The sequence below is a fragment of the Homo sapiens genome, chromosome 9 (genome assembly GCF_000001405.40).
Source record: "Homo sapiens chromosome 9, GRCh38.p14 Primary Assembly".
In the NCBI taxonomy this organism is placed as follows: Eukaryota; Metazoa; Chordata; class Mammalia; order Primates; family Hominidae; genus Homo; species Homo sapiens.
In genome coordinates this window covers 84,012,164-84,024,579 of record NC_000009.12, presented here as the reverse complement: position 1 = coordinate 84,024,579, position 12,416 = coordinate 84,012,164, and positions in this window count along the sequence as shown.

Below are 12,416 nucleotides of genomic sequence, written 5' to 3'. Positions count from 1 at the left end.
AGCCTGGGCAAAAAGAGTAAAACTCCATCTCAAAACAACAACAACAAAAAACAAAACAACAACAACAACAAAACTTAGTAATAATTGTTAGCAAAGATGTGGAGAAATGGAAATCCTTGTACATGTTAATGGGAATGTAAAATGGTGCAACCGCTCTGGAAAACAGTTTGGCAGTGCCTCAAAATATTAAAAGTAGAGAACCATATGACCCAGCAATTCTCCTGGTATGTAGCGAAGAGAAATAGAAACACATGTCCACAGGAACACAATTGTTCATAGCAACATTATTCATAATAACCAAAAGTAGAAACAGCCTAAATTTTCATCAACTGATGAATGGATAAATAAAATGTGGTACATGCACAAAATGAACACTATTTGGCAAAAAAAAGGAATGAAGTGTTGATACTTGCTGCAACGTGGATGAATCTCGAAAACATTATGCCAAATGAAATAAGTCAGTCACAAAAGATGACACATTGTAAGATTTCATTCCTATGAAAGGGCCAGAATACTGTAGTGAGCCATGATGTCACCACTGCACTCTAGCCTGGGTGACCAAGCAAGACCTAGACTCAAAAAAAAAAAAAAAAAAAAAAAAAAAACAAGGGCCAAAATAGACAAATATTAAATATATGGAAAGAGCAAGTAGACCAGTGGTTCCCAAGAACTGGCAGGGTAAAGAGAAAGGGAGGACAGGAGCGACTGCTAATGGGTACCAGGTTTCTTTTAGGGTGATAAAAATTTTCTAAAATTAGACTGTGATGATAGGTATAAAAATCTTTAAATATAGGCCACATGTGGTGGCTCACGCCTGTAATCCCGGCACTTTGGGAGGCCAAGGCAGGCGGATCACCTGAGGTCAGGAGTTAGAGACCAGCCTGACCAACATGGAGAAACCCCATCTCTACTAAAAATACAGAATTAGCAGGGCCTGGTGGCGCATGTCTGTAATCCCAGCTATTCGGGAGGCTGAGGCAGGAGAATTGCTTTAACCCAGGAGGCGGAGCTTGCGGTGAGCCGAGATTGCGCCATTGCACTCCAGCGTGGGCAATAAGAGGGAAACTCTGTCTCAAAAAAAAAAAAAATCTTTAAATATACTAAAAACCATTGAACTGTACACATTAAACAGGTGAATTTCGTGGCACGTTAATTATATCCCAATAAAGCTATTTTTATTAAGCCATTGAGCAATACATTTAAAATTTGTATATTTAAACATATGTAAATTATACTCTAAGGTATTGATCAAAAGACATATTATGAACCACTAAAAATAAAGTAAGAAGATCTAAGTAATAGAATCGTGGAATTTTATGGAAGGATGAGGTCTTGGAGGTCATCTGGTCCAGTATTTTGACTGGATAAATAAGAAAACTGAAGTTTGGGGAAACATGACTTGTCTATTCTCGATGGCACAACTGAAAAGAAAGTCAAAGAGTAAATTTGATGATGGGTTGCCAGGATATATACTGAATATCCAAAAACAGGTTTCTAGTATAACATGTATAGATTGCTATATTCAAACACAGAAGTTCCAGAAAATACCTGCGCTCGCGTATATAAAGCAATATTTGTTGGAAAGTATTAACTGGTCTTCTTAGCATGGCCTGTCTGACACATTCTCTTTTATGCAAGTCCCTTAAGAATAAGACTTCAAGACTGGGCGCGGTGGCTCACGTCTGTAATCCCAGCACTTTGGGAGGCTGAGGTGGGCAGATCATGAGGTCAGGAGATCGAGACCATCCTGGCTAACACAGTGAAACCCCGTCTCTACTAAAAATACAAAAAAATTGCCAGGCGTGGTGGCGGGCGCCTGTGGTCCCAGCTACTCAGGAGGCTGAGGCAGGAGAATGGTGTGAACCCAGGAGGAAGAGCTTGCAGTGAGCCGAGATTGCACCACTATACTCCAGCCTGGGCAACAGAGCGAGACTGTGTCTCAAAAAAGAGAAGAATAAGACTTCAGTGGAAAAGGATGTAAGAACAAACATCTTTTATGTGTGCCACTTTAAACCATTCCACTTTCCCTTTCCAGTTGTTATCCATTTCTCTGGATATTGTTCTTTTCCATTGCTTCTGATTGAAAACATTTTAAAATAGTTAGAAAGAGTTCCAAAGAAGTCAAATAATATGTAGCAATTAATGACTAAATATAAGGAATGCAAAGTTGGATAATCCAGAGCAAAGATAACTTGATTCATTTTAGAATCATCTTTCAAACATAGTTAATTAGGTATATACTTAACTAAGTATTTCCTGGGTCTCTTAAAATGAAATTCTTCAGGATGCAATATTTCTGTCACCTCCTAGGATATCTGTAAATATGGCCTTAGAATTTTATACCAATAAATTTAGAGAAAAAACAAGACCATGAAGCTGTAGAGTGGATTTCCTGGGATTTATTCCCTGCTCCATCACTGAATAACTTATTTGGTTTAGAGATATCTATTAATATTTGGTCTCCTTGGGCCAATGTTCCCAACTCCGTAAAATAACATGATATAGGATTGTTCTAAAAATTAAATGAGATTTGTTTCTGTTTAAGACGATGGAAGAGCTATAAGCTTTTTGTTAGTCCCTCTGAAACTTTATTAAAATGACAGTAAAAGTTATTTTCAGGGTATAAAAGTGCAATATTGAAGAGAAAGAAAGGAAAGCCATCAGCAAACAAGTGATTTTATCAAGCTTTTGGAAAACACTGAGTTTGGAGGACTGATCACTGATAAAGGAGGAACCACTACTTAGAAAATGAGTGCATAGCCAGGAGCAATGCCTATAATCCCAGCTATTTGGAAGGCTAAAGAGGGAGGATCACTTAAGGCCAGAATTCGAGACCAGCCTGGACAACATGGCAAAAGCCCGTCTCTACTAAAAATACAAAAAAATTAGCTGGGTGTGGTGTCGCATGCCTGTAAACCCAGCTACTCAGGTGGCTAAGACAGGAGAATTGCTTGAACCCTTGAGACGGAGGTTGCAGTGAACTGAGATCGCGCCACTGCACTCCAGCCTGGGCAATAGAGCAAGACTTTGTCTCAAAAAGAAAAAAAAATTAATAAAAATTAGCTGGGCGTGGTACCCAGGAGACTGGGGCAGGAGGACCCCTTGAGCCCAGGAGTTAGAGGCTGCAGTGAGCTACGATCAAACCACCGCACTCCAGCCTGCGTGACTGTGTGAGTATGAGTGTGTTAAGTGGAAAAGACTCCCCAATGGAAGAGTACACCAATCTTACCTGGAGAAACTTCAAATGCTTAGATTCAGAAAATTCAGTTAGGATGAAAAAGAGGAATGAGACCTGGGAATGAAAGCAGGGTTATTATTTAAAGCATGTGCTATGGTTTGAATGTCCCCGCAAAACTCTTGTTGAAATTTAATTGCCTGGCTGGGCACGGTGGCTCACGCATGCCTATTATCCCAGCACTTTGGGAGGCTGAGGCTGTTGACCAGCCTGGTCAACATGGTGAAACTCCGTCTTTACTAAAAATACAAACATTAGCTGGGCATGGTGGTGCACGCCCGTAATCTCAACTTCTCGGGAGGCTGAGGCAGGAGAATTGCTTGAACGCAGGAGGTGGAGGTTGCAGTGAGCCAAGATCATGCCACCACACTCCAGCTCCAGCCTGGGTGATGGAGCAAGACTGTCTAAAAATAAATAAATAAAATAAAATAAATAAAAAGAAAAAGAAAAAAAGAAAGAAAGAAATTCAATTGTCCATGTAACAGTATTAAGAGGTGAGACTTTAACAGATGATTAGGTCATGAGGGCTCCACCTTCATGAATGAACTACTACTATTATCATGGGAGTGAATTTCTTATCTCAGGAGTAGATTCGTAATTAGAAGGAGGGGGTTTGGCCAAATTTCCTTTCTCTGTCTTGCGTGCTCACTTCTGCTTTCCATGTTTCTGCCCTGGGATGGCCCTCACCAGATGCCAGAGCCATGCTCTTAGACTCCCTAGCCTCCAGAATTGTGAGATGAATAAACTTCTTTTCTTTACGAATTACCCAGTCTCTGGTATTCTGTTATATCAATAGAAAATGGACTAAAACAGCCTGTATAATATGGAGTATATAAAAAGCGCCCACTCCACTCCCACAAACCAGTAAGCAAAACATCCATCAAGCAGGTGATTGTTCTCCAGGCAGAAAATAATAGTAATAGGCCAGGTGCTGTGGCTGACGCCTGTAATCCCAGCACTTTGGGAGGCCGAGGCGGGCAGATCACTAGGTCAGGAGATCCAGACCATCCTGGCTAACATGGTGAAATCCCGTCTCTACTAAAAATACAAAAAATTAGCCCGGCGTGGTGGCGGACGCCTGTAGTCCCAGCTACTCTGGAGGCTGAGGCAGGAGAATGGCGGGAACTCGGGAGGCGGAGCTTGCAGTCAGCCGAGATCGCGCCACTGCACTCCAGCCTGGGCGACACAGCGGACTCCGTCTTAAAAAAAAAAAAAAAAAAAAAAAGGAAGAGAATAATAGTAATAATAAACGTAAACACAGTTTTCTATAAAGAAGTTTATTGAACCATCTAGGAAGAATTAGGGCAGCTAAACGGGGCACTGTTGGCCAAGAAGCCCATTCAAGTATGAAAAGTTCAAAGTCAATCTTTCTATTGCTTCATTCTTTTTTTTTTTTTTTTTCCCCGAGACGGAGTCTCACTCTGTGGTGTGATCTCGACTCACTGCAACCTCCACGTCCCGGATTCAAGAGATTCTCCTGCCTCAGCCTCCCAAGTAGCTGGGACTACAGACACCTGCCACCACGCCCAGCTAATTTTTGTATTTTTAGTAGAGACAGGGTTTCACCCTGTTGGCCAGGATGGTCTCGATTTCTTGACCTCGTGATCTGCCACCTCGGCCTCCCAAAGTGCTGGGATTACAGGCGTGAGCCACCGCACCCAGCCTATTGCCTCATTCTTAAAAGTGGACAGATTATCAAAGATTGCCAGACTTTTAAGGAAAATCTGTAATGTGAATGAGAAACACAAAAGAAAAGAGAGGAATGTATTAAGAGAACTAAAGATAAATTCATAAGACAATTCATAAAACATAAACAACTTTTTTAAAAAAAGATTAGGCTGGGCACGGTGGCTCACGCCTGTAATCCCAGCACTTTGGGAGGCCGAGGTGGGCGGATCACCTAAGGTAATCAAGAGTTCAAGACCAGCCTGGTCAACATGGTGAAACCCCATCTCTACTAAAAAAAATACAAAAATTAGCCAGGCGTGGTGGTGTGCACCTGTAATCCCAACTACTCGGGAGGCTGAGGCAGGAGAATCGCTTGAACCCGGGAGGCAGAGGTTGCAGTGAGCCAAGATCTCACCACTGAACTCCAGCCTGGTGACAGTGCAAGACCCCATAAAAAAAAAAAAAAAAAAAAAAAGATTACTATGTATCCTCAAAAATATACAGAAGATACTACATTTATGAAACAAGAACCAGCTGCTATTAAATTTTTAAATATAATAATTCAATTAAATAACAGAAAGAGTTTTGGGAGATTAACAATTTGATGGCTGAAAAAAATAGAGGTTAGAAGGTAAGGTCAAGAAAGTCTTTCAGAAAGAAGAAACAAGACAAAAAAGTACACCAAGAAGAAAGTTAAGGCCAAGCACAGTGGCTCACACCTGTAATACCAGCACTTTGGGAGGCCAAAGTGGGAGGATCACTTGAGTCCCGGAGTTAGACCAGCCTGAGCAACATAGGGAGACCTCCATCTCTACAAATAATTTAAAAATTAGCTAAGCTTGGTGGCACATGCCCATAGTCCCAGCTACTTGGGAGGCTGAGGTGGGAGGGTCACTTGAGCCCTGGATGTTGAAGCTGCAGCAAGCTGTGACTGTGCCTCTGCATTCTATTCTAGGCAACAGAGCGAGACCCAGTCTCAAAAAAAAAAAGATGAAAGTTAATACACATGAAGACCAATCCAGAAGCCCAATATTTAACTAAAATGATAATTCAAGAAAAAGAAAATGAAAGGATTTTAAAATTAATAATACCAGAAAAACTCCCAGAATGATAGACTGGACTCGGGAAGCTGAGGCAGAAGAATTACTTGAACCTGGGAGGCAGAGGTTGCAGCGAGCTGATATCACGCCACTGGACTCCAGCCTGGGCAACAGAGTGAGACTCCATCTCAAAGAAATAAATAAATAAAAACACACAAAAATGGAAACATATTCCATTTTCATGGATTTGAAGATTTAATATTGTTAAAATGATAATACTACCCAAAGTAATTTACAGGTTCAATACAATCCCTATCAAAATTATAGTAACTGTTCTTCAAAGAAACAAAAAAAGCAATCCTAAAATTTACGTAGAACCATGAAAGACCCCAAATAGCCAAAGCTATCCTGAGCAAAAAGAACAAAGCTGGAGGCATCACACTACCTGTCTTCAAAATATACTACTACAAAGCTACAGTAACCAAATCAGCATTGTACTGGCATACAAACAGACACACAAACAAAAGAAACAGAATAGAGAACCCAGCTATAAATTCACATATTTAGTCATTTTCAACAAAGGTGCTAAAAACATATATTGGGGAAAGGATATGTTCTTCAATAAATGGTGCTGGGAAAACTGGATATTCATAAGCAGAAGAATGAAAACAGATCCCTATTTCTCACCATATACAAAAATCAAATCAAAATGGATTAAAGACTTAAATCTAAGCCAGGCGCGGTGGCTCACGCCTGTAATCTCAGCAGTTTGGGAGGTCGAGGCGGGCGGATCACAAGGTCAGGAGATCGAGACCATCCTAGCTAACACGGTGAAACCCCGTCTCTACTAAAAATACAAAAAATTAGCCGGGCAAAAGGGAAAAGGAAGGCAAGGCAAGGCAGGGCAGGGCAGGGCAAGGCAGGAAAGGGAAAGGGAAAGCAAGGCAGGACAGGGCAGGGCAGGGCAGGGCAGGAAAGGGAAAGGGAAAGCAAGGCAGGACAGGGCAGGGCAGGGCAGGGCAGGGCAGGAAATCCCAGAAACAGTGGATCCAAGTTAAAAGAAAAATGGAAGATAGTCAAGATGAGAGTTGAGCAGCAGGCTAGAAAATACTGAGAATAATTAAACAAATTGACTCCAAAAAAGTTATTTAATACCCAGTGTCCAGACGTCCAGACATTTTTTTCTACTACCATTCTCCAATAAAAGAAGACATTACTGATTCTAGGTCTGGAGAAGGAAATATAAAAGATAAGTCTTGAGCATCTTGTAATACCAGAAAGTAAAGTACTTTAAAAAATGATGGGAGTGGCTGGGTGTGGTGGCTCACACCTGTAATCCCAGCACTTTGGGAGGCCAAGGCAGGTGGATCACTTGAGGTCAGAAGTTCTAAACCAGCCTGGTCAACATGCCAAAACCCTTCTCTACTAAAAATACAAAAATTAGCCAGGCGTGGTGGCAGGCGCCTGTAATCCCAGATACTCGGAAGGCTGAAAAACGAGAATCGCTTGAACCCAGGGGTAGCAGGGGTGGAAGTTGCAGTGAGCTGAGATTGTGCCACTGCACTCCAGCCTGGGCAACAGAGCAAGGCTCTGTCTCAGAAAAAATAAAATAAAAAATAAATGATGGGAGTATGTCAAAGGGACACAAGAACCAAGGGAAAGAAGATCCCAATTGCCAAAGCTGAAACAATTTGAACAACAAAATTTAAAAAGTACTACTGAATTATAACCCAAATTATAAAATATATATCCATGAGTCTATATTCATATAAATCATTGAATAAATTAATTTATGAGGGAAAAGAAACAAATCTCTGTTTCAGAACAATTTCAAATAATTTATGTAGATACTCTGTCCTCAAGGAAGGAGGAACATAAATGGAACACAAACCTTCACTCCTTAAGTATAGATTACACACAGTTACTTCCTTCCAAAGCATTCAGTGTGGAAAGGCTGGGGGAGAGTGGAAGAATAACTTTACTGTAGAAAAACGACAAACACTATCTCATCCAGGTGATCAAGGTCAACATGAACAGTGATTAAATATGTTGATAGTATGTACCCTTGATATGATATAGTAAAAATGACACTTTACCTGTGTGGTCTTCCTCCCAGAAACCAATTAGCCAGTATCATAATGAGAAAAACATCACACAAATTCCAATAGAGGGGCATCCTACAAAGTACTTGACCAATACGCCTCAAAGCTGTCAAGGTCATCAAAAACAAGGAGAGTCTGAGAAACTGTCACAACCAAGAGGAGAGTAAGGAGACATGACAACTAAAGGTAATATAGTATCCTGGATGGGATCCTGGAAGAGAAACACATTAGGTAAAACCTACATACAATATAGACTTTGGTTAATAATGTAACAATATTGGATCATCAGTTGTAACAAATGTACCATACTAATGCAAGATGTTAATAATAGAGCAAACTGGGAGTAGAGTATATAAGAACTCTCTACTATCATCTCAAATTTTCTGCAAATCTAAAAAGGCTTTTTTTTTACAGGAGGTATCTAGAAAAGTAAGAGATGCAAGAGATTTGATATTGTCCTTAAGAAGTTGGAAGAACTTAAGGATGAGAAAAAGGTGTGAATACCCCCAAAATGGACAGCAAATAACACCCCCCATCACCCAAAAAAATCTCTACAAAAAGACTGGTAATGCCAATATACTACACATAACAACCTGTGCAATCACCAATATTTAAATAGTTGTAATAATGTGATCACTGCTTGACGTTTAACCTTTAGAATAAGCTTATAGAGGAAACAGATGTCATAAATCAGATTAATTAATAGAATGCAAACTTATTCAGTCTGATAATGTTGAAGTATGAGGAGACATTAAGCATAAAGAAAAGTTAGGAGTACTAATTAGACTATTTTGTAATATGAGTAGTCAGGAGAAATGGCCTATAGTTGTAATAAGAAATCAAAGTGTAAGTTCACCATTTCATGGTTTTGTTTGTTTATTTGTTTGTTTGTTTTTGAGACAGAGTCTCGCTCTGTCGGCCAGGCTAGAGTGCAGTGGCACGATCTCGGCTCACTGCAACCTGTTTCCTGGGCTCAAGCAATTCTGTCTCAGCCTCCCAAGTAGCTGGGATTACAGGCGTGTGCCACCACACCCGGCTAATTTTGTATTTTTAGTAGAGACGGGGTTTCACCATGTTGGCCAGGCTGCTCTCAAACTCCTGACCCCAGGTAGTCCGCCTGCCACGGCCTCCCAAAGTGTTGGGATTACAGGCACGAGCCACTGCACCCGGCCCATCATTTCATGTTTTAATAATAGCCAATAAAGAAAACCAAAAAGAGTTTTGTAATGGATGGAAAAAAGAGATGCAGGAATCAAGTGAGTTAAAGCTTTATCAGAGCTAACTTGACAGGTAGAAGTCTAAATAATGGAAATTCCCGTATTATTTAAAGAATGAGGACAATCAATAGATACACTAAAAACAGACCTTAATAGGCAACATCGGTCTCCCTGGGGAGCAGAATAGGAGTGGGACGTGGGAAACAGTGAAAAAGAGGATTGCTACTTTTTATCATGGTCTTTCTATACTATGTAATTTTGCGATTATGTTTATGTATTGCTTTGATAAAAGGATTTTAACTTTCTAAAGAAACATTCTTTGTAAAGCATTTAGCACAGTGTCTAACACTCAGCAAGGAGCTCACAACCTTGGCAAAAATTCTTGGATCCATGCATGGCACAAAAGCTTCAAATCCTACTTTGGTAAAAAACAGTAAACAGAAAACAAAGAACGCCATTTCTCTACTCACATCCCATTTCTAGCACCAATTCTAGAGTGTTTTTCCAACACCAACAACGAATTCTCTGATTCTCTGGACACAAACTGGGTGTCCAATAATTCAACTCAATACTGAATTCAATTCAATTCAATACTAACTACCTGGAGTTAAAGCAGACCCCACAGGTTAAGAGCTCAGTCTCACAAGACTGCTCCCCACATCCAAGTCCAGGCCACCTGTACTTATGACCAACTGGGTATAAATCAGGGGATCCCACAAGCCACTCCTTGGGTTCAATAATTTATTAGAACATCTCATAAAACTCAGAAAAACAATACTTAAATTTACAAGTTTATTATAAAGCAAACAATTCAGTGAAGGAGGGGTCAGAGCTTCCATGCCCTCTCCAGCTGTGCTACCCTCCCAGCACTTTGATGTATTCACCTGGAGGCTCATCAAATCTAATTATTCAAGTTTGTATACAGAGGTGAGTGGGTGGGGCAGAAAGTTTCCACCTTCTAATTACTTGGACTTTCTGGTAACCAACTTGATCCTGAGGCCTTTTTGGGGCCCCACCCTAAGTCGCTTCATTAGCATAAACTCAGATGTATTCAAGAGAGGCTCCTTGTGAACAAAAAGGACACTTATGTGAGTTATTTTACAACTCTATTAATTGTAGATAACTGATAGCAATACAAAACAACTCTTGCCTTGTTCATAGTTTTTTAAAACTTTTGTAGAAATGGGGTCTCACTATGTTGCCCAGGCTGCTCTCCAACTCCTGGCTTCAAGCAATTCTCCTGCCTTGGCATCTCAAAGTGCTGGGATTACCCATTTGAGCCACTGTACCCGGCCTTCTCTTTGGCTCATGTCTGTAATCCCAATACTTTGGGAGGCCAAGGTGAGAGGATTGCTTTACGACCAGCTTGGCACAGGGAGACCCCATCTCTACAAAAAGTAAAAATAAATTAGCCAGGTGTGGTGGTGTGTGCCTGTAGTCCCAGCTACTCAGGAAGCTGAGGTGGGAGGATTGCTTGAGCCCAGGAATTGGAGGCCGCAGTGAGTTATGATTATGAGTTATGATTGTATCACTGCACTCCAGCCTGGGCAACAGAGTGAAATCCCATCTCCAAAAAATATATTAAATACATAAATTTAATTAATTAAAGAAAGAAGAGAAATAATCCCATATTAGGCCTTTTATCAGCCAGTGTGATGGTACCAAGTAGGATGGAAGTAATAGTAGGAGAGACAGACGCAGAATTTCTAAATGGTTTGTTTTGGTTCTGCTTCATCAGTTAATTCAGAATTGTTGGTATAAACTTGTCCTTACATAACAGATAAAAGTATTTGCCTTTGGTGCTGAGTAGTGCATTTCAATTAGCTAGTGACTATGAATTATAATATTAATTCTGTGGAACAGTTTATGTAAAGTAGTGTTATTCTTAATACTTTGGAAGAATTCAGTGGGGAAGTCATGAAAGCTGGGAATTTGTGGGAAGTCTTTAAATCATAGATTCTATTTTTAATTCTTAAATTTTAGAAATATATTAAATCACACACCATAAAAATCACCGCTTTAAAGTAAACAATTGAGTGGGTTTTTTTTGTACACTCACAAAGTTATGCAACCATCACCACTATCTAACTCTAGAACACTTAAATCATCCCAAAAAGGAACTCCGTATCCATATCCATATCCATTTGCACAGGAGTCCTCAACCCCCAGGCCACAGACCGGTAGTGGGCCATGGCCCTTTAGGAACCCAGCAGCACAGCAGGAGGTGAAAGGTGGGAGAGCAAGCATTACCACCTGAGCTCCACCTCTTGTCAGATCAGCAGGGGCATTAAATTCTCATAGGAACTCAAACCCTATTGTGAACTGTGCATGCAAGGGATCTAGGTTGCATGCTCCTTATGATAATCTAATTAAAGCCTGATGATCTGGGTGAAACAATTTCATCCCAAAACCATCTGCCCTTCACCCCCAATCAGTGGAAAAATTGTCTTCCATAAAACCGGTTCCTGGTGGCATAAGGGTTGAGGACCACTCACCATTCATCCCCATGCCTCTGCTCCCCAGTCCCTGGCAACCACTAATCTGCTTTCTGTCTCAATGAATTTAACTGTTGTGGATATTTCGAGTTAATCTTATACTAGTGATTAACACGGTGATTAACTATTATGGATGTTATGGATATTATGTGTACGAACATTCACGTACAAGTTATTCTGTGAGCATACCCTTTCGATTCTTTTTTTTTTTTTTTTTTTTTTTTTTTTGAGATGCAGTCTCGCTCTGTCGTCCAGGCTGGAGTGCAGTGGTGCGATCTCGGCTCACTGCAAGCTCCACTCCCAGGTTCATGCTATTCTCCTGCCTCAGGCTCCCGAGTAGCTGGGACTACAGGCACCTGCCACCATGCCCGGCTAATTTTTTGTATTTTTAGCAGAGACGGGGTTTCACTGTGTTAGCCAGGATGGTCTCGATCTCCTGACCTCGTGATCCCAAAGTGCTGGGATTACAGGCGTTAGCCACTGAGCCCGGCCCCTTTCAATTCTTTTAGGTAAGAATGAAATTGCTGGATCACATGGTAACTCTGTTTAGCGTTTTGAGGAACTGCCACACTATTTTCCAAAGTGGCTGTACCATTTCACATTCCCATCAGCATTATATGAAGGTCCCAATTTTTCCACATCCTCATCCTAATTGTCAT